Source organism: Homo sapiens, chromosome 3 (genome assembly GCF_000001405.40).
Source record: "Homo sapiens chromosome 3, GRCh38.p14 Primary Assembly".
Lineage (NCBI taxonomy): Eukaryota > Metazoa > Chordata > Mammalia > Primates > Hominidae > Homo > Homo sapiens.
The window spans coordinates 174180657-174204466 of NC_000003.12; the positions used below are offsets into that span (position 1 = coordinate 174180657).

At 35.8% G+C, this 23810-nt stretch overlaps 1 protein-coding gene across 36 annotated transcripts in view; it reads left to right on the forward strand.

The window, feature by feature from the left end:
- NLGN1 (neuroligin 1) overlaps nt 1–23810 on the forward strand; it is an 898421-nt gene that overhangs the window by 784705 nt on the left and 89906 nt on the right. Inside the window, exon 2 of one of the 36 annotated variants that reach the window (XM_047447713.1) lies at nt 132–22158. The exons of 34 other annotated variants lie outside the window; for them this stretch is intronic. The gene's annotated coding sequence lies outside the window, so the exon portion shown is untranslated. The remainder of the gene's footprint in view (nt 1–131; nt 22159–23810) is intronic. One more of the 36 variants, XM_047447714.1, reaches the window with a different exon arrangement.

Genomic DNA, 23810 nt, shown 5'->3' on the forward strand with positions numbered 1-23810 from the left:
TTTCAGTAATTAGGAATTCAGTTAATTCTTTGGAGATGATAGATGTGTTCTTGTGTGTCTACTCTGTGCCAAGCATGATCAACTGAAATGCTTATATAAATGAGTAAGATAAACATTTTAACTTCCCACAGATCACAATCAAGTAGAAGACTTAGACTTTAAAGAAGGAAAGATAAATGCATGAAAAATGAGGTACAAACAATGTATAGAACTATAGACAGGAGAGAATGGATATGGACTTGCTTCTTTGGGGGAAAAAAAAGAGGTATTTAAATCAGTTTTGAAAGATTATTAAGATTCTAACAAGTGATTGGAATGCAGAGAAATCAGATGTAAATTTGATTTACATCACTGCAGGCAAAGAGCAGGGGTAACACTAAATTGCCATGTTCTCCATGTCAGAGACCTGTGTTGCAGAAAATACTGTGTACCTTGATCTGAAATAACCACATCCGGGACACTTTAGTATTGTCCTGTATTCTTTTCAGAATATCAGAACTCCTCCTGGCCCTGCATACTGCTGTCACATGGAATAATATAAATTCATCAAATAAATCATATATGTCCACACTCTCAGGCCTTCTGTACCTACCTGTGTCTTTTATGTCCATAAGTCTGCTTTCTCCCTGCCTTTTTATCCACAGAACATACCTACATTTACCTGGCTATTTATTAGGCTTTAATGACTCATTGTGGGAGTTCTGTCTTCTGAGAAGCATTGTCCGATGCTACCATCTCAAGTTTAAATTAAGTACCCCTCCTCAGGGGCACAGAGCCCATCGCTGTTACCTCTATCACAGCACTTACTTCATGCTCTCTCAATCCACAGGTTTTTCAGATCTCCTCCTTTAGACTATAATCTTCTGATAGCAAAGACAATAATATCAAACACCTGGAAGAGAGCCTGCCCTGCAGAAGACCCTGATTCAATTAATATTTGTTGACTGGGAAACATTCAGATATAAAAATGTAGAAAAAATGTCTATAGTCAGCCGGGCTCAGTGGCTTAAACCTGTAATCCCAGCATTTTGGGAAGCCAAGGCAGGCATATGGCTTGAGCCCAGGACTTCAAGACCAGCCTGGGCAACATGGTGAAACCCTGTCTCTCCAAAAAATAAAAATACACACACACACACACACACACACACACATATGTATGTACACACAAAACTTAGCCAGCATGGCGGCATGTGCCTGTAGTCCCAGCTACTTGGGATGCTGAGGTGGGAAAATCACATGAGCCCAGGGAGGTCAAGGCTGCAGTGAGCCATGACAGCACCACTGCACTCCAGCCTGGGCAACAGATTGAGACTTGGTGTCAAAAAAAAAAAAAAAAAAAAAAAAAGAATGTCTCCGAATAAACTTGGACTATCATTTTCATTGTGCAGCAAAATGAGTAGGTGATTGTACACACCTAACCCATACATTCTGTACTTGTCTCTCCCCTTCACTTTTCATATCCTTAATTAGCAGAGCCTACCAATCTTTTTTTCTAAATATATTTTTTATTATTTCCACTTCCATTTTATCTCCACTATCATTGCCTTAATATAGGACTTCATTTTTCACTTGGACAATATTGCAATAACCTCTTAACTCGTCTCCCAGTTGCAATAAATGTCTATTAAATTTAAGTGGTTGAAATGCTTAAAGTAACACTCCCTATTTTGAAAATAAATCAACTAGCAAGTACCTGCTGCCCACCTACAATATGTTCCAAACTTATTATGTGCTATGAGGGAGTCAGGAGAAGCAGAGCATACAAACTTCCACTTTACCCCCAGGACACTATAATGTGGGCATGGAGAACTGAAACTGTGCTTCTCAAAGTACATGATGCATGCAAGTCACCTAGGGATGTTACTAAAATACTGATTCAGTAGGTCTTGGGTAAGGCCTGAGATTTTGCATTTCTAACAAATCCCCAGGAGACGTGGGTGCCACTGGTCTGTAGGCCATCCTTTGAGTGAAAAAATATTAAAATCCATTAAATACCATATGACATACCTCATAGTGAAGATTCTAAGTGCAGGCAGACTTCATGAAAGTAGTAAATGATACAATGGAAAACTCTCCATGTAAGAGAAGAATGGACACTGAGAAAATGCAAGCCCATTCCCTGTTCCTACTCAGCTTATAAGATGACTCACTTCTCATCTTCTCTCTAAAGCCTTTCTGACACAATCTCACCTTCCTGGCACAATCTCACATTGCCGCTGTCTCTCTACCCCTTTCTATTCATGCTCTAAAGTATTAATACATTCAGAAAGATCTTTCTAAAATACAAAACCGACTTTGCCACTCTTAGGCTTAAAGTTCTTTAATTCCTATCACCTGCCATTTAAATTCCACAATGGAAGGCCCTTCCCAATTGGCCCCTTTCCTGACTCTCTAGACTCAATTTCCACCACTTCTACCACATGTCACCTGCATTCGCCCAGCTTCACCACACTCTTTCTTACCTCTGCTTGTCATAGGCCATTGCCTGTGCCTGGCACCTCCCGTCCCCATTGTCTACTAGGCAACAGTGCATCCATTCTTACTGGAAGCTCAAAAGTTCCCTCCTCCACAGGGCCTGCCTTCTCCTGCCAGGCAGAGTTATGTATTTCAACGCCTTTTTGAGTCCATAGCATATAAAACATTATTGAGTTCTATTTATCTCTACTGATTTCAGTACTCCCAAGAGAGCCCCTATTTTGCAAGGATCTGAATCTCATCTTTCTTTATACCTTCTACCCATATTCAAGATGTGAAAGATGTTTTAATAACTGTTGGTTAAAAGAAAAAATAAATAAATAAATCCGAACTAGCTATTTACTCAAACATCCCTTTTTACCAAGAAATAATTTATGATGGCACTAATAAACAAAACCAATGTGTTCTGTGATGAGATTTCAGTACACAACAGAAGTAAATGTTAGGGTGAAGGGAAAGGAGAAAAAGAAGACAGAGGAAGAAAATGCTAAGAAACACTGCAATGAGGAAAATAGATATTTACTACTTACATGTTAAGTCTTTTCTGAGAACACACATGTGCACACATACACAACATTCATAATTTAAACTGCCCTAAAAAGTCCAACCAAATTTTAGCTCATTCCCAGAAAGCAGTAGACAAGACAGGAAAGTGTGTTAATACTCCTTCTTTTCCAGTCATTATTCACCTAGGTACTGGAAGTTGTGTCTCAGATATTGGATTGAATGGAAATGAAAGAGGGTCTCTTGGTGAGAGCAGTCAATGTTCCTCCTATTTACAGATGGCATGGCTGTGCTTACGGACAATGTATGTGAATTATTATTTTTCAGTTGAAAGCAAAACTCAACCATGAATTTCAGGGAGCAATTAAAAGATAATCCTGAATACAAATAAATCATGCCCCACAACTCATAAGAAAGCCACATAAATGGTCATTTGGTAAAAGAGAAGGATATCTTTAGAATTTTCTTTAGAACATTGCTCAATAAAGAAATACAAAAGTCAATAACACTAGACAAAAAATATGCAGTAAAACCAATGAAATATTTAAAAGACTGTCATTTATACTGAAAAAAATAGACCATCAACATTATTGTTACTCAGAAATCTCACATTCTTAATATAAAAGAAACTTGGCAATGAGTAAAATGATTAAAAATTATTCAGTGTGTCAAAAAACACTCAGCCAAATATTAATGTAAATAGAAATATCAATAAAAAAGTACTCATTATAAATAATAATGTCACATTACATAAAGATTAACTTCAGTATTACATCAAATCATTCTTCTAAAGCTATTTATATTAAATGTCATTTAATTCTCCCAAAATTTTAATACTTTTCTATATCATCTTTTGTGTCCATATTTTTAATCCCCAGATAAAAAGTGAGTGCCTACCAGGTTATAAGTTCAATATGTGTTGAAGCTGAATAAAAGTGAGTTATCATCAGCCACTATATCGATCAGTCAGCCATATTTTCCAGAGCATCTGCCTACATGCTCAGCACTGCTCTGAGAGAAATAGAAGAAACAGGGAGCCTGAAGTTGGTCTCCTTTCCTGGGCATTAAGGTGTAGTCAGGAGACAATACTAAATGCTAACAGTGGGATCAGTGAGAAACGGTGGAAGCTAGTTTATAAGCTATATCATGTAGTTCATGATAAAATTGCTGTATAGGATTCAGAGTAGAAAAGTTCTACCCAGACATGGTCTCATGAGTTGGGGATGGAAAGATTAAAAAGATGTCCAAAGTAGCAGGCATGGAGTGAAGTCCAGAGTGGACAGATCTGAGGAGATGTTGCACTCTTCAGATTCAGGAAAAAATATGACCACAGATCCAAGGGCAGGAATAATAATGCACAGCCGGGCCCTTGTAACACAACTAATATAGGAATGGGACCCTATAGAGCTGCAACTGCACAGCCTGCACAGTATGCAAAGGCCCTGCTATACAGCTTTCTCAACCTGTTGTGCTGTTTTTGGCTTCCTTGAACCCACTTGATTCCATCCTTTGAGACTCAAATGTTATTGTCTCTGTGAAGCCTTTCCCTTTCCCAACCTTCCGTCACACTCTACATGTATTAACAATTTATCCATATGCCATAATTACATATCAATAATTGCATGTAATCTTTATCCCACCAGTTCACTCCTCCTCATCCCACACATTGTCTAAATCAGCAGTGACCAACAGAACTTTCTGTGATTATAGAAATATAATATCTGCACTGTCCAAAACAAGATCCTCTAGACAAATACGGCCACTGAACGCTTGAAATGTGGCTGATGTGACAGAGAATTCAATTTTATTTATTTTAGATTTAAATTAAAATTTAAATAACAGCATCTGGCTAGTGGCTACTGTACTGGACATATGGTTTTATACTATGAACTTCTTGAAGGCAAGAATGATGTATTAGCATCCATATACTTTAGTATAGTCAATCATAGTATGTACTCAGTAAAGTTTTGTTGAATAAATGGCCAAATATGAATGAATCTTAGTATATAGTTGACAAAGTAATGAATATAAAGATCAGACATATGAAAAAGTAACAAATTTAATGGTGTCTAAAGATAATTATTGAAAGATGAGAAGAGAAATAGTGTGATTTGAATGTAGTCTGCTTTTTAAAAAAATGTCAGTAAAGGTACCCTAAAATAGAAATTAACCAAAAAAAAACAAAAACAAAAAACCTGTTGAAATGCTGATACTCTATCTTCTTTATATGTTTATGTTTTGCACTAACTTTTTCCACTATTTTATACTGTCTTAATTATATCTAAGTCTTCAAACACTAGACTGTGACCTCCTTGAAGCAGGTACTTTTATTCCCACTGTGTACCCAGTTCCAAATGTAAGCTTAGACCACAATAGGTACCCAATAAATTTTACAGGGAGAGTGAAATGAGTGATAAGACAGGAAATAAACTATTTTAATAAAACTAGCAGAGTTGATGTTCAGAAAGAAAAGATAGCTGTTAGAAAACATCCTAAGTGACTGTGAACAATAAGGCATTCTGCAACATCTACTTCATGTGTGCATTTATGCCTTGTGTTTGAGAAACCTGTGTTATTTCAAATAATGTTTTCCTAAAACAAACATGACTGTCTTATTCTCCCTGTCTCCTACCTGCCATTCTATAAAGTCCCATTGCTTTTAGCTTTAAATTTGGTTTCAGCCTCTTTGACTCTTTTACTATTTTCTTTTAGTATTTCCATTACCTTAAAAGAGTGAGTACAGTTGTCTTCACTTTCTCGTGGTAGAAAGTTAACAGTATAGAAGTATGAAAATGTCACCAAAGACTAATCAGAACAAATTGCAAGAGTTTTTCCTAATGTCTCTGCTTCAGACCTACCATGTAGATTAGCATATCAGATTTATCATTCTGATACATCAGAGTCTGGTTTATATTTGCCAGCCAGTGTCACTTCTCAGAGCACTGTTTTTTACTCTGAGTCAGAACAGGTTTCTGTGATATCTCCCTTAAGAAATGCCAAGTTTGGCCACCATCTATATCTTTTTCCCTTTCCCTGGGTAGCTCAGAAATCAATAAAAGAGCAGGTTTATGATTGCTGATGCTTAAATTATACTTGTCATTCTAAAGATATTTATTGCACACTTACTATGCAAAACTGTGTTCTAAGTGCTTTAAAGGAAATTGAGATGAATCATGCATGAACCTGACCTCCAAGAATATGGTCATCACTGAAAGATAAGATACAGGTATAATAGATAAAAAGTAGCAATTGCTAAGTACAATTATCCCTCCATATCTGAGTGGGATTAGTTCTAGAACTCCCTCCAGATACTACATTGCCATGATGCTCAAGTCCCTTATATAAATGGCATATTATTTGCATATAACCTATACACATCCTGTATACTTTATATTATCTCTAGATTATTTATAATACCGAATACAATGTGAGTACTATGTAAATAATTGTTATACTTTATTTTCTATTTGTATTATTTTTATTGTTGTATTATTATTTTTTATTTATTCATTTTTTGGAAATTTTCAATCAATGATTGGTAGAATTCACAGATGAAGAACCCTCAGATATGGGGGTCCTACTGTAGAGCATATGGATTTAGAGCAGCCTTGGATTTGTATTTTGACCCCCATATTAGGAGTTACATGACATTAAACAAAATACATTAACCTCTCTGTGCTTTACTTTCCTCTTTTGCAAAATAATACCAGGTTTTGTCTCTGGATTATTGACTTATAATCTGGATGAACCCAAAACCCCTGGTGGAGGATGAGAGAGACCAAGCATGTCAATACCTTAACATTGTTTTGTCCCTGGCACACACATGAAAATGCTTAGCCAATGCCTGATTATAAGCAAAATGCTTTCAGAGTTTAGAGAGATAATGCTTTTGCTGTATGGATGACGTGGATTCTGTCTGAAACTGAAAGATTGTTGGATTTAGACATAGAAAATGCAAAGTCAAAATCTGAAAAGAAGAGTATCAACTATCCACAATAATTCACAAGGCCAGGAGATCGGAAATTATTAATTTTCTTCACAATTATGTTTATTGAAACATTGTCTAAAATCTATGAAGTACCATGCTAGGTGCCTTAGGGAAGAATGGCACAAAATAAATGGTCTCTACTCTCACAGGAGTCATTGAACTAGTAGAGGTTCCTGGGGGAATCACGCCACCTTTAACCTACAGCATGTTTTTCTCATTGGTAGAAGTAATATTGTGGGTTTGTTGGGAGGGTGGACTGCTAGATGTCAGGGACTGTGTTTTAGTTAACTTTGCCTCCACGTTAAGCACAACTCTTAGCACATAGTAAGTACTCATTACATGTTTATTGAATGAATCAATCAACATATTTTGCATGAATATGTTCTAGTGCTTACCCAATAGTAAAATTAAGACTTTTATAATAATTCTTAAAAATAGCTACTTGAGTTCTACACTGTTAATACCTAAATGATGTTTATCAAAGAGTGTAGCGCTTCAAAGGCAAACTTAACAACTGCTGAATGATTTTAATCATGAAATAACATTCATGATAATATTACCACATTTGTGTAACACTTTATACCCTTCTAAAAACGTCTTTTGGATAATTTTCCTGGCTTTTGGTTTTTGTAATTTGTACGTTTATGAAATGTGATATGTTTGAATTTGAGTAAACTCTGCTCACCTAGAATGTTTAGACAAATGAAAAAGTATAAAATAATAACCAATAATAGTAAAAATCATAACATTGATGACAAAACCAGGAGCTTCCATTCACTGCGCAGTTGCTGTGTTCCAGAGCCTAACTACCAGTGCTTTACAGGTGTCCTCTTATTTAGTCCTCACAATAATCCTACTTAACAGGAACTACTGCAAGTTCCCTGCTACAGTGAAGGAAACCCAGAGTTATAAATCTTAGAAAGAATGTCAAAGATCATAAAGCAAAGAAATAGCAAGACCAGGATTGAAACCCAAGTTTGTCTTCTCCCAAAGTCCAGGCTCTTCACACCCTACTACTAAACTGCTACCTACTCCTAAATAATGACAACAGAGACTATTTATAAACTCACCCTTTTTTTCCAGGTATTAGACCTTTAGGGAATCATTTATCCTCAAAATAACACTAGAAGAATATAGGTTTTGATATTCTATTTTCCAGATGAGAAAACTGAAGCTTAAAGAATCTTGGCTGCTTGCCCATGTTTACAGAACTAGCCATGGCAAATAGAGAATAGACCCAAATTTATTTAAGAGGCAACAGGGTCCTTAATCACTATCTTCTATCAATGGTAATTAAGTGTTTTGGTTAGGAAAAAAATCATTGTATTTAGAGTAAGTTCTTACCATAGTTAAAATGAAATAATGTACTTACACTTAACATTAAAGTCACACCAAATATAATTTCCTCTTTTCACAATGATTAGAAAGGCACTTCAGAATCTTGAAGTGCCTCATTATCATGCACATAATTAGCATATAATAATATTTTTAAAGGGTGGGTGTTTGAACCTTTGGACCATTTAGCTTCTGGACATGTGGGAGTTTGTTTTTAATGTTTTCCTTTACTAAACAATTTCTAGCTAAATTATCTGGAAATCAGGTCTGAATGAAAGACGCAGAGCAAAGTATACTCTTAACCCAACCCCTATGCCCTCAGATGAGAGAAATAAACCCATCTTTCCTCAGTGGATAGAAGAATTATGGAAGAAGGTGAGCATAGCTCCAGTGTTTTCAACATCTTAAGTTACTCATCAACATCTATTTCATTTCATTAATAATGAATTCAACCACCAACCAATTTGAGTAATTGTCAGTAATCAGAGAATGTTTCCCCAACCTTCAAATCTATGTCATGGAAGTGAAAATTTCCCTAGCGCCATAACAGAGGAGAAAATCTTAAGTTATATAATGTGAAAATATTTGCCATTTTATTTGAGGTACTGGGATATAAATTATATATATGTCCATCATTCTTCAGCATGTTTCCAAATCTGCAGTGTATTGTATTTTTTGCAACTAATAGAACTCATTACACTAATAGTCTAGTATTATGTAAATGCATTTTATCCAAATATCTAGTATCCATAAGTAGTTTGTTCTCTATATCCCTAATGTAATATATCAAACAATAACTCATTTGTCAAAGGGAGACAGTTCATTAAAATTCAACAACTGTTTGGCCAGGATAAAACAGCAACAGTATAAAAATTGATGTTGCAAAACTTAACAAATGAGGGAATAAGGGAAGTGAGAATAAGGAAATTGCAGGCCTGCCCTCCAGGGCCATTTTTGGGCCACTTGTCTGAATTTTAATATTACAATTGTTTTACAAAAAGTCTCCAAGTTATTAGGCTGGGAGGGAAGCCAATTTACAGCTAGGTGACTTGAATATCAGGGGCATTCAATAAATGAGAACATGATATCACTTAGGACATAGAGTGGAAAAGGTACAACACTTGAGCACTGTGCTACAATTCAGTTTTTAAAAGTGAGTTATTATATGACTTAGCACATATCATCCCTTGTTGAGTTGTATTTAAGTAGCATAGTGAATAAGAGTTTTAGACTGTTTTGTTTGTGTTTTCAAATGTAGTATTTGCTCCATATTTTTTTAAAGCAAAATACCAAGCATAGAAATAGCACCTACCAGAGGTTTAGATAATTTGAAAAGCAAAGAACATGAACCTGTTGATGAGCTGACACCCATTCTATCGCAAAACAGTTTTAGGAAAGGTGAAAAAAATAAAAACATGCAATTTTTGAAGGTGCCTGGAGAAGTACATTTATCATTTGGGATGTATCTATGAAATCTGCTTAAAATTAAAAATAAAAGATTTTTAAATATTTTTAAAATTAAACTTATTAGACTTATTGTAAAAATATTACACTTATTGATACAACTATGTTCACTGAAATCACTTTATTCAAAAATTACTATATTAACATATGCATGTATATTAAAATATTAGACTTATTGATATAACTATGTTCATCAAAATTGCCTTATTCAAAAATTACTATATTAACATATGCATGTATATACATTTAAGAGGGAAAGTTCTTTATGTTTACATGCAAGTGCTGCTTTGTACTTATACATTATTTACTTATTAGCTGTATATAACTTAACTGAATAACTTCTCATCACTTTAATATTACCTACATACTTCTAGAACTTTTTGTTTCTAAACAAGTTTTTCTCCATATGGTGTTATCAAGGAACATCATGTTTGACTCTTCATATAGCCAACAAAAACCCTGATTTTCAAGAAATCTGTCTTTCCAAAGGCAAATACGAAGGGTTTGACTGGGGGCCGAGATCTCTTATAGCTGAGGTTTTATACTATTCTCTCCTCTTTCTAATGGCAGTAGTGTGTGCGTGTGTGTGTGTGTGCGTGTAACTTTCATTTTCCCACATGCACCCAATGTATTAAATTTATTCTTTCAGTTAGCAGAAGCCTTTCCATAGGATAAAAATGACAAGCATTATGAAAGGCATTCAAAGTTCCCAGGCTTCTTAGGCCCATTCGAGGATCAAGTATTCCTTCAAAATCCACTTTCAAGATTCCACAAGTTTATTGCAAGATATTCATATGTAAATTAACAGACCTGTGTAGTGATCTCCCTAACATATTTTTGCTCTATCAAAGTTCTACTTGCTGTTAGAAAGTAGCAGTTAATGTCACAACTACTGTTCTGTTATGCATGCGAGGGAATCAAAGTACAGTAATCAAAGTACAGTAGATAATTATTTTTTAGTACATAGTAGAGTGGTATAACTAAGCTTTCTTTTAAGCTGTTAGTCAAATTACACAGCTAATAAGCAAAAGACAAACGAGCAAAGCTATATTTGCTACACTGTTTGTCTCTTAACGGAGATCAAAGAATGAAGCTGGTTTGCAACTCTGTGACCTGTCATTCTGTGAAAAGTGTGTCTCTCGCCAAAAATGAAACTACAAATCACATGCTGTTTGATGGTGTGCCTGTGCTTGTGTGAACAGGCCACCACATTCAAGCTATGAAGAAGCTGCTAACAGGTGTCATCTGCTTTGCAAAATTACAGTTTCCACAAAGCACCACGAATTGGGATCATTAAGAATACCCAGATGCTGTATCCCAGGCTTCAGGGCTTAAACATGTACTTCAGATTTTCAGGTTGTTTTGTTTGTTTGTTTGTTTGTTTGTTTGTTTTTGTCTTTGTTTTCAGTTTCAATGATCTATCTCCAAATGAGATACTCTGAGTGTTTGAGCTTTGCACCTATCTATGAAATTTACTTTAAGTAGGTTCCTTATTCAATGCTGAAAATTAGGTCAGCTAGAACTTCTAGTCCATTTGACTTCTTATCTATTAAAACTTCTTGTTTGACAGAAGTCTATGAAAAGAAATGAACAAATATGAATGTGACTTATGCAAAGCCAATAAAATTATACTTTAATCTATTAAGCTTAAACCCCTGAAATTCCATCATATTCCGTTGTATATTTCCGGATAGCCAGGGCAGATACATGTTTTGTTTTTGATAGTGTTAAAAGCTGAAAAAACATTGATTTGTTTGAAGAAAAAAAAACATAAAAGGCATGCTGTAATGAGATTTTTGAAACACATTAGAGAAATTTTAACTTAAAAAATTCAAAATATTAAACATAAAACTCATTTACTCTAAATTTATTATTTGAAAAATGAATGGATTTAATCAAGTAACCAGGATTTTTTGCGTGCTTGATGGCTAATAATTTCTTTGTGTGCAAATTACCTTTCAACTAGTTGCTTCGGTGTTCTAAGATATAATTAAAGAGATTAAATGCTTATAGAAATCAGAGATTCTATGCAGATGTTATTACTCATAAATTTTGTTTTCAACAAGTTAACAGGGCAAATACTTTTATTTATCTATGCATTCAATATTCATTCAGTAAGTTTCCACTTTGTGCTTAGCATTGGACTGGCTCCCAGAGAAATGTATATGTAATAAAAACAATGTAGGTCCTGTCACGATTTACTGCTGCTTAGTTTGTGTGCGTGTTTCTGTCTTGTCTTTTCTATTGGCCTATAAGCTCTTGGGGCTAGTTATATAGCATCATGAGTTCCCCAAAGTGCTTCTCACAAAGAGCTCAATTAATAAATAGTTTTATTTGCCTATGAAAAGCATCTGTTATAACTTACTTTCCTTGCCTCATTTTTTCCCCAATTTCCCTCCCTAGCAACTTCCACTCTGTCCACACTGAACTGTTCATTATTCCTTGGAGTGATTTGCATTTCCATATATCTGGGCCTTTGCTATTACTAAACTCCTGTGTGTTTTGTTTTGTTTTTTAATGTCGTTTATCCATACACTTAACTCCTCCTTCAAACCAAGCAGAAGTAGTTCTCTTCTGAATGTACCACTATTAAAGCACTTATTACATTGGTATATAACTAATTGTCAGCTCCTGTCACTAAACTACTAAAAGTTTGGTATGATTTTATTTTCCTCTTTGTATCTGTAGTGCCATGTAAGACCTTTTATAAAGGTGACATATAACAGTTGGTACAAAGGAACAAAATAAAATGGCATACAATAGTTTTAAAAAGTTTACTAGAGCTTTGTCTAACAATTAGTCATTGCTTACTATTGAGCAGGATAATAATGCCTTGCGACTGCTTCCAAATCCCTCTTTCTCTGATCTCTCTGCCCTTCAACTTTTCAAGAGTACCTTTTCCATATACTCTCTACCTCAAAAGCTTTTCACTTAAAACCCTCCTGCCAAAGTTGGGAGAGGGATTATTGGTGTAGTGATGGTACTTTTTCTGGGAGTATTTGAATCCAAACAAGAAATAAATTACCTTAAACCAAAAAAGTAGGTTTTGAACTGCGAGGTTTCAAGGAGTATCAGAAACAAAGGAAACAGTTTTGTCAGAGGCCACACACACAAATCCAAAATCTTCTTACGACTCCATTGATCTTCGTCCTGTGCCTCTTGATGTTTTCATGAAAGATGGAGGAGTTGCTATTACATGAGAAATAAGCTGTTACTAAGATTATTCCATTCTACCATGGCAAAGTAGTGCAGATGGCCATATGGGAAAGCTGAATAAATAATTATTTTATAAAGATAAAACTAAAAATAGTATCCATCTCTCATTCCTGAAAGTAGCATCACTGTGCTATCTTGTGTAAGATTACATTTTTAAGGCTTGGTTTAAAATATTTTCATTACAAATTCTTCTCTGACATTGTTTAAAATATTTTCATTACAAATTCTTCTCTGACATTTGTAAAACATTTTCTATTTGTTTTACAAATTTTATTTTTAAAAATTAATTTAAAAGCCAATAGTCACTGCAGAGCTTAGAATAAATTTCATCATTTTTCTTTATCTACAATTACCAAGGGAACACCATAGCATACCATTGCTAAATGGTGTTTTCATTCACTAGATGACCATCCTCCTCTACTTATGTTATTTTACTACTAAAGAAACTGCAATATTTTTTTATTGTGATATAATATTTATTTCCCACATATTTTCCAAAAGACCAAAATTTTAATCAAAATTTAAGAAACAATCTCCTGGCCAGGCGCGGTGGCTCACACCTGTAATCCCAGCACTTTGGGAGGCTGAGGCAGACGGATAACGAAGTCAAGAGATCAAGACCATCCTAGCCAACATGGTGAAACTACTACTAAAAATACAAAAATTAGCTGGGCGTGGTGGTGCACCTGTAGTTCCAGCTACTCAGAAGGCTGAGGCAGGATAATCACTTAACCTGGGAGGCGGAGGTTTCAGTGAGCTGAGGTCGCACCACTGAACTCCAGCCTGGAGACAGAGCTAGACTCCGTCTCAAAAAAAAAAAAGAAAAAGAAAAAAAAGAAACAATCTCCATCATTCTTTTGTGACATAATCCACCTATATACACTTCTAACTAAATCAAGATATTTAGATTATAGTCTAAGTTAAACAAACCCAGATGTACAAAAATCATCAGGCTATTTGTAGAGAAAGTATTGTTTTGATAAATATAGTTATCTCAAAAAAAAGCAAAAAAATGAGGATATGTTTAAGAAGTAAATAAACATTTGTGTGTGTGTGTATATATATATAGACATAGATAGTTACAGATATAACATTATCTTTTAGACCCATAAGGAATGTTGGGATAAAGAAAATATAACCTATTCACTAAAAAAAAAAAAAAAAGGAAATGAGACCCAGAAAGAAAGTTTCAGTGAACCATTCAAGATTTTTTTTTCTTTTTTCTTTTTTCTTTTTTTTTGAGATGGAGTTTCATTCTTATTGCCCAGGCTGGAGTGCAATGGCACGATCTTGGCTCACCACAACCTCCGCCTCCCGGGTTCAAGTGATTCTCCTGCCTCAGCCTCCCGAGTAGCTGGGATTACAGGCATGCACCACTACGTCTGGCTAATTTTGTATTTTTAGTAGTGATGTGGTTTCTCCATGTTGGTCAGGCTGGTCTCGAACTCCCGACCTCAGGTCATCCCCCTGCCTCGGCCTCCCAAAGTGCTGGGAATACAGGCATGAGCCACCGCCCCCAGCCAAAGATCATGTTTTTTACTCACAGTCATAGCTAGACCCAAACACAGAAGTCTTGACCTTTAAACTAGTTCCCTTCCCATCATATATAGTAATTGTTGAAGAGTTATGTTCAAAATAGAATATACAAGCAAGTTTAAGATCTCTATTTTAGAAAATTGAATCTTTGAAAAATATGTTTGATGATATTTCAGAGGCATTATTAACATCAATTATCACTGTATTAATAAAATTTACATTTAAAAAGTCCAGTAAGTAGACTTATGAATAATGAAGAGTTTATTAACTACACTCAAAGAGACGATCTGAAAAAACAGACTAATAAACCAGAAAAATAATTAGATTAGGAAGCTAATCTGTGTATGAGATTGCTCCTCAAACCAAATCCACTCTGAATTTGGACTTGGACTTAGTGAGGGATTAGAGAAATCTCTCTAGGGGCCAAATTCATAATCCATGGCAGCCAATGCAGCCGAAGTGTCTGTGCACAAGAAATATTCTTGCCTGACTTGCAATATTATCTTGCTGCTACATGCTTCACTAAGTTGGAAGAGATGCCGCTAAAGAGCAGGGGGCACAGGAAACCTGATTCAACTTTTGGAAACCATTAGAGAAGCATGCTGAAGTTTGGAGAAAAAAAAACTGCCTTCTTCAGGGGAAATTAAGTATAATCAGAGGTCAAGGTAGAAATTTACTAACATAGATTGGGCAACCATTTACATGGATTAGGGCATGGACTCACTCCAGTTTCACCAAATGCCACACCTGGAGAGTAAACGTAACTCTTAGGCATCAGTCACCTGGAGTCCCCGGGCTCCTTAATGCTCTGTCAAGATTGATGAGGATAAAGCAGGAGGGGCACAGATTTAAGCCTATAAATTGAATCTTAGGTAAGCCTATAGTCTTAGACAGACTATATTTTAGAAGACAGAATCTGGCACACTTTAAAATCTGATTTTTAGAAATGTTTTTATTAGTTTAGTACATTCACTTAACAAGCATAATTTTATTCACAAATGCCTATCATGTGCCTGGCAATAGGGTCTGAATTCTTCATAACCCAGAACTTTGTCATACTCAGTTTTTAGCCTCAGAAACTGACATAAATTTATAGTTATTGATAAATCAGAAGATAATTCTGTACATCTATTTTTTTTCTCTTTTTTTCGCTGCATTGATAGTCTGAAGATCAAATTTCCCAAGCTCTCCCAATAGTCATGCAAAATTATACTTACTTAGATTTTCTATTACATTTATTTGTAAACTTAAGTTAAAATCTATTTTCAAAAGTTCTCATTTTGAGTTTTATTCGTCTTGTATACACTCTGCACGTAATGTCATCAATTAAAATGAGAATATGCTTAGAAAATCTTTATAACCATCTACCATGGCTAATGATCTTAACTTTAATGCACAAAATGTTATTTCATTGGAAATTTGGTGCGTTCTTAGAGTGACCCTTGTTTCTGTAACATTTTCAGCGATCTTAGATCAAAAAGCACCAACAAATATTTCTAGATTTGTTTTCTATAACAAGTACTCATATGGCACTTAACTATTTGAAAAATAAATCAGTTAAATTTTAAATAATTGCTAACAATCATGCTGTCATGATCTACAATGTATAGAAAAAAATAGCTAACACAAGTAGAACTTTGCATACGCCAAGATTGTACTTGAAATGCTTTACATATATTGACTTTATTCATCTTTACATCAACTCTGTAAGAACCATTATTATCCCCAATAGTAACATTCCCAAGGCCTTTCAGCTTGCAGTGGTAGAAGTAGGGCTTAACCCCAGATGGTCAAACTCCAGAGTCTGTGCTTTCAATAAATATTTAATTTTGTCAATTTATAACAAAGTCATTTGGAGCGTCTCCTGTTGCTGGGATGCATGGATGGCAAAAATATCTCTATCTTTTAGCTATCACCTTTGCTGAAATGTTGGGTGGTCCATGCCCACAGAAGGTGAGAAAGTTTTATATGCTTATTTTTAACAACTAGAACATAGGATTTAAAAAGACAAGGGTAAATTTCAACAATGTAGTGTATATGTTGTCTTCTAAGGAGCAATAGAAGACAACTCTGACTATCTTAAGCAAAAGGAAATGTTTTGGAACAATAGTGGAAAGCCACAGAATTACAGGAAGGCTACAGAACCAAGCTTAAAAACTAACAGGAACCAAGCCGTCTTGGTGGAAGAGGAAAAATAACTATAGGTATAGTTTATATCAGATACAGAGTGAATAAGTGAGCCGTACTAGGATAAATGAATTCCAAATATTTTCAGTCTATTTGCTGCTCTACTCAAGACTTTATAAAAGGAGAATGGCTTTCTTGAGCTACGGTACTTAACCTCAAAAAAAAAAAAAAAAAAAGGAGAATCCAGTTAGCCTGGCTTGGGTAACAATAACTCTTCCTTGACTAAGAGAGGGAGGTGATTGGAACGCAGCCCTGCCAGTCTATGTTCAATGAGGACAATACTTTTCTAAATGCAACTGAGGCTGCTCTTAGAAAATAAAAATAGGTACGGGCAGTCAAAAACCCACAGACATCCATGGTTGTGACTTTCAAAATAATTCCCATTATCTCGTGTGTGTGTGTGTGTGTGTGTGTGTATGTAGATAAGTTAATCTGTCCTAAAAACTGCTTTAAAATCATATTTTGTTAAGATTTATTTCTGATTATAACAGTAACACATATTTACTGTAGAACACTTGGAAACTAAATGTGAAAAGTCACTTACAATCCCAAGAACGATCTAGTATTGACATTTTGATGTTATTCTTTTTGTCTTTCTACAAGTAGTTATACATACACATATATCTATATACTCTATACTAAAATTTGAGATGGTTCCTGTACTTTTGTGTTGTACATTTGTCACTTAGTTGATTGTTACTATGTTTATATTATTAATCTCTAAGAACATGATTCCATGAAATCGATAATCATCTATAATATAATCATTCTACATTGTTGTACCTTTAGGTTGGTAAGTAATAATAGTAGTAACAGAGAAGAAAATAAAACAGCTAATATTTATCAGGTATGTATTGTAGGTCAGATACTCTGTGGCATGCTTTACGTGCAGTTTTATTTTACTAAAGCAGAAACTAAAGCTCAGGGAGATAAATTTCCCCAAGGTCAAAGAGCTAGTGACTATAGAGTTTGGATTTGAGCCCAGATACTCTGGATAGCCTGTGTTCTTGGTAGCTATATCTTTGTGTTATTACTAAATATATTGTGCTGTACATCCTTACATATAAATATTTGCACAGCTTATTTACTTTAGATAAATTCCAAGATGGGAGATTGCTGAATCAAAGTCTAAACATTTACAAAGCCCTTGATACATTTTGCCTGTACAAATATACAAATTTCTATTTTTTCTGGCAGAATATGAGGATGCTTATTTCATAATAGTCCCATCATTGGATAAAATTATTTAAATTTTCAAATTTGAAAAAGAATGTAATGGGATCTTATTTTTGTTCGTTTTCTTTTTTTAATTGATAATGAGACTCACTATGTTTCAATTCATTATTTTTACCTTTATGGTAATTAAGTGACATTCACTGAACCGTATTTATCTGAGTGCCCACACTTCTCTCCCCTGGGGTATTATTTAATGACAAAGGTAATGTGCATGAATCTCTTTTGATCTGGCCTCATGACTAGATTCTTTTTTTTTTTTTTTTTTTTTTGAGACGGAGTCTCGCTCTGTTTCCCAGGCTGGAGTGCAATGCACTGTCTCAGCTCACTGCAACCTCCACCTCCCAGGTTCAAGCAATTCTCCTGCCTCAGCCTCCAGAGTAGCTGGAATTACAGCCATGTGCCACCACGCCAGGCTAATTTTGTGTTTTTAGTAGAGACAGTGTTTCCCTATGTTGACCAGGCTGGTCTCGAACTCCCGACTTCAGGTGATCCGCCCACCTCGGCCTCCCAAAGTGCTGGAATTATAGGCGTGAGCCACCGCGCCCGTCCTGCATATTCTTATATTCATTTTATGGAGCAGCTTTTCTGGGAGTCAATCTAACCTTGCTACGCTGAGAGTATGCAATGCTTTGACAAAGGATGTAAACCTCAGGTTCCGTATTTGTAAAATGATAAGAATAACACATACCCCGTAAGTTTGTTATGATGATTTAATAAAACATAAAGGATTTGAGACAATGTTCGATTCATTTTAAGTGTTTGATCAATGTTGGCTACTATCAGTAATAATGGTAATAGTAGTAAGAGTGAGAGTGGATATGTGGCCAAGGTGATCTTTTCTAAAAAGCACTATTTTCTAATTCTTGGGGATGTGGACTGCCTTACAGAGGGGAGTAAGTCTGAACAGTGTGGAAGAGTTCACCTAGAGCTCACAATCTATGAGGGTCCTTTTCAAGAGGATCCTCTCAATGGGCAGCTATCTGCATCAGTAAATGAATACGATGATTAGATAAGGTTTGCCTGAGGTAAGGACAGAGGTGGAGGAACAGTCAAATACATGCTCCGAAAGGCTCAGGGAAAGAAACTTTCTCCTCATTATCATTTTGGTGCCATAAATTCCATTTTACTTCTGCAGAAATTCAGGTTAGAATGGCATTTATTAGATGCCTATCATGTGGGAAGCACAGTTCTACAAGATTTTCAAACATCTCATCTCAACCTTATATAAAAAGACACCCAATGGATGTGAAAGAAGTATTGTTACTTACAGAGCAGCATTATGTGCAGAGGAGGAAATAAATACCATAGGAGCTTAGTAATTTACCCAAAGCCCACAGTTATAGCCAAGTTTGTCTGTCATTTTTTTCCTGCCAATGGCCATTTCTGGACATCTAGGCCTGGAGAGCTCTCTCTGGAGAGTAGATTTAACAGGAAAGTTTCATAGCTCCTCGTGTGATCAGCAGTGGGATGCTGGGGTCTAATAATAATGGACCAGGAACCCTGAGTTTGACTTCAGCTCCTTTGCCTCTGCCGTTTACTCATTTTATCACTTTGGAAAAATTACTTAATCTCCTGTTTCCTCATCTGTAAAATGCAGGTAGTGACTGCTACCTTGCAGTGCTAATGCAAGAAGAAAAGGTAACTGCTGTAAAGTTCCTAGCACATAATAGGCAATGAATAATTAATAATTATAAATAATGGCTCAGAATATTAGCTATTCAACTTCTAAGGCTTGAACACTGTGTTCTCAACTCTATAACCTCAATATTAAAACCCAAAGCTTGAGTCTTCACATTCTGACTTAGAAAGACTTCCTTCATTGTTCCTGTCATTTATACACCAAATGTAAACTAAGTTCTTACTGTGCATGAAGCTCTTTTTAAATGCTTTGAGAGGTAAAAGATTCATCAGACACAGATTGTTCACTGGAGGGCCCTACAGTATAGCAGACGAGGTGAAGCATGGCCATCAATAACTAGTATCCAGAGTAGAAAGTGGTAAATGCTTCAATAGGATAGATTTCATAGAAAGTGCTATATGTTGCAGAAATATTAATTTCAACTAATAAACATCACAAAGCAATAATATTAACAATCTTTTCTTTTATATGCACTTTTACCTAAGATCAAAATTTCATTTCAACCTCCCTGTCAGCTATTGAATGGGGCAACTTTATCTTACTTGACCCTAAACAGACCAGTTATTCCTCCTCCACTATATATTTTCCTTAACCATCAGACACAACTATTCTAATTACATGGAGCAAAAATCACTGCTAATCTTTTTCTCTGATCCTAGAGCAGTAGTGTCCACAGACTATACAAGTGTGTATAGCCTGGGGGTAGAAATTGAGCCCTGTCAGGGCATGGTTGTTCACGCCCGTAATCCCAGCACTTTAGAATGCCGAGGTAGGTGAATTGCTTGGGCCCAGGAGTTTGAGACCAGCCTAGACAACATAATGAAACCTCCTTTCTACAAAAATTACAAAACAGTAGCTGGGTGTGGTGGCACACACCTGTAGGCCCAGCTACTTGGGAGGCTGAGGTGGGAGGAGAGCATGAACCCAGGAGGGGAGGCTGAGGCTGCAGTGAACTGTGATTGCACCACTGCACTCCAGCCTGAGCTACAGAGTAAAACCCTCTTTCGAAAAGAACAGGAACAGGAACAGGAAGGAAAGGAAAGGAAAGGAACGGAAAGGGGGAGGGAGGGAGGAAGGGAGGGAGGCGGGAGGAGGGAAGGTGGGAGGAATGAAGGAAGGAAGGAAGGAAGGAAGGAAGGAAAGAAGGAAGGAAGGAAGGAAAGGGAAAGAAAGAAAAAAGAAATTGGGCCCTGTTTGCTCTTGGCCTCTCCTAATGTCCTATTTACTTAGAGGTACTGCTGGGACTGATTCTGGGTCTCCCACCTTCCAGCTCTGCCTTCTCTTTCCTGTACAGCATCACCCCCTCTCAGCAATAGGCAGGTTACAAATTACAGCCTAGTGATCTAGAAATTGCAAACTCAAATGAATGAAGTCCAATGAGAAGCAAGGATCAAGATGTCAGAAAATCCTCAAGTTCATTGAGCTTAAATATAAAAGGAGAGGGCAATATTGAAACAAATTTCTTACATATAAATGTCACCCAGCAGCATTGCCATCTGCTCCCAAATAAAGCTTGTGTCTAGATAAGGAAACCTCATTTATATGGACAATATAATGAATCTAAGTATCCATAATAGTGTTCCACAGCACTTATTTCCCTCTCACCATGGTTCTCCTTTCCCTAATTTGCCCTGACCTTTTTAGGTGAAGTTTCTTATTGAAGGCAGATTTTTTTCCTTGTGTTCTCTTTATCATTCAAATTTTCTTTCATGCATTTCTCTGTGTACTTCTTATTCTTTAATCCTTATTTCTTTTTCTTATGCTTTCCTCTCTTCCCATTTCTTCCTCCTTCTTTCCTTTTTTCTCCTTTTATGCTCTCAATTCACTTCTTTATATCTCAACATGTCCCCGTCTCTCTAAGTCTTTATGTCTCTCTACCTTTCATCTTATCCCTCTCCGTTGAAATGTGTTTTCTGTGCACAGTACTATGGTACTTGAGGAATTGGGAATAAAATGACCTGGATCCAAACACAAACCCTCTTGCCCAACTAAGCTAAACACAGAAGAGTTGGTATTTTATTCTTGTTCCCTGCTCCTCTTAAATAGCCATGTCTATTTCCAAATGAAAAGTCTGCTAATGACCTAGCAGGTTCCCAGTGTAGATAGGATCCAATTATCTGCTATTTGGCACACAATGGCCTTTCTGTCTGCCAGCCATGTACCAGGGGGTGAAAATAGCATGTCTACTTTATTCCTGAGCGTCAGGGTGTTTTTCTACTAGAAAAAAAAAATAAAACCCTGAAAAATAGTTTTGAAACTCAGAGTATTTTACTCAAAAGGTCAAAGATTCATTGGAATTTAATTTTCTTTTTCTTGTTATTTTTAAGTTGTCATTTTTCTGTAATATTAGTTGTGCTGTGTGTATATTTTCAGCCTGAGTTTTCTTTGTTCCTTACTACTAGATTTTGCCTTAAACTCATAATCCTGACTGCTTTTCACAATGTTCATTTTCCCATGGCAACAGAGATGCAAATGAATAATTCTGGTGTTACTGTGGGGAAGAAAAGAAGAACCTGTGTGTGACTCATACAAGAAAATCTGTTATTCAAGAATAAATATCGCAGCAGTAATAATAAAGGTCAGCACTCCCATCTCACCCAAGGAAGTCAATGAGAGATACACACAGGTGGTTGAGGACAGGCTGTTAGTCCTCAGTGAGTGGTGAATCTTGTTGGTCAAGTGAATTGCCCTCATTTTTCTGTTAGAGGTTGTGGACTATTTTTCTTTACAAGGGAAGCACTTTATTTATTTATTTATTCATTCATTCATTTACTTATTTATTTATTTTGAGGGTAGAGCGTGTCATTGAAAGGTACCTGACCCAAAAAGATAAGTCTATCTAATGTGCTTGCTTACTGAAGCACAAACTTAAGCTCTCTCCTCCTATGATTATGAGAGTTCTTCGCCATTTCTACCCATCAGCTCACATTCCTGACATCAGCAGAAGTTCACTGATGCTTCAATGATCTAGACAAGAGCAGTAATTTTCTGCCCTGTGCAGTCTCTCAAAGGTTAAAAATTCTAATTGCTACTAAGGATTTCCTGCAAAAAGAGATGTTTAAAATCCTTATTTGAAGGTCCACTTCACCGTGCACAGAGGAAGTGTATTCGTGCACAGAGGAAGTATTCATTCCTTCTGTGAAACATAAACACTCACCCCTCCAGATTAGCCCGTGGTACATTTGTTCTTGGGCAGTTCGATGTGGATGAATCTTGTGAGACAGGGAAGCCATGGTAAGTATGCTGTCCTGGGTGTTCTGTCTCAGGACTTTCTTCTGCTGCCCAGGGCACTGCTATTCCATCATCTAGCATGCTGCTACAGCTGCAGAAGGCAGACAGAGATCTGATACATTCAGGGCACCCACATCTATGAGGAAAATGGATGAAAGATCAAAGAACACCCTCCCATCACCACGCTTCCAGCATCACCAACATAGGATGCCATCTTATGTGAATATCGACTAGGGTTTGTGTAATTGTAGCTCATAAAGCAGGATCTTTTCCATAGATACATATTTTTCATAAGGTATATTTCTTCAGAATTTCTAGATTTGAATGATATAGCTGTGGCTATTCTGTTATTATTAGAAACTTAATCCAATCATTCCTTATTAAAAAAAGATTTCCATAGCAACACAGACACAAAACAAATTTCCTGGGTAGATATTATAATTTGTTTCAGATAATATAGAAATTCTATTGGAGTCATTATTTTAAAATTACAATTATTATACAGACTTTTTTATCATAGCATTAATATTAACAGTTTTAAAATGAATTCATGCCAAAAATACAATTTTATATCTTTCTATTAGACATAAGAGACAACAGACTTGTATCTACATAAGTAAAATTAAATCAGATGGTGATTTTTAATGAAATATGTGTTTTTCTCCAAATCTTTTTCTTTTGGAGCAGTAGGGCTTTTTGTTTTGTTTTGTTTTTAATTTTACAAAATTGACCTATTATTACCCCAAGTATTTTCTTGATAACTTCTAATTCCAGAGCAATTTTGTTGTTCTTTAAAAACAATTAATCAGAATAGATTTTAACATTGTACAACACTGTAAACTTGTTTCCAGAGGAAGAAATATTCTTTGCATATCAAAAAAATTTTAACCTAAAATGTGATTAGCAAAAGCATGGATTAATTGTGTTTCCACTGATGTAAAGAAATCTTCATTGAACATTCCAGCCGATCAGCCACTGGATTAGTGCATAGGATAAATG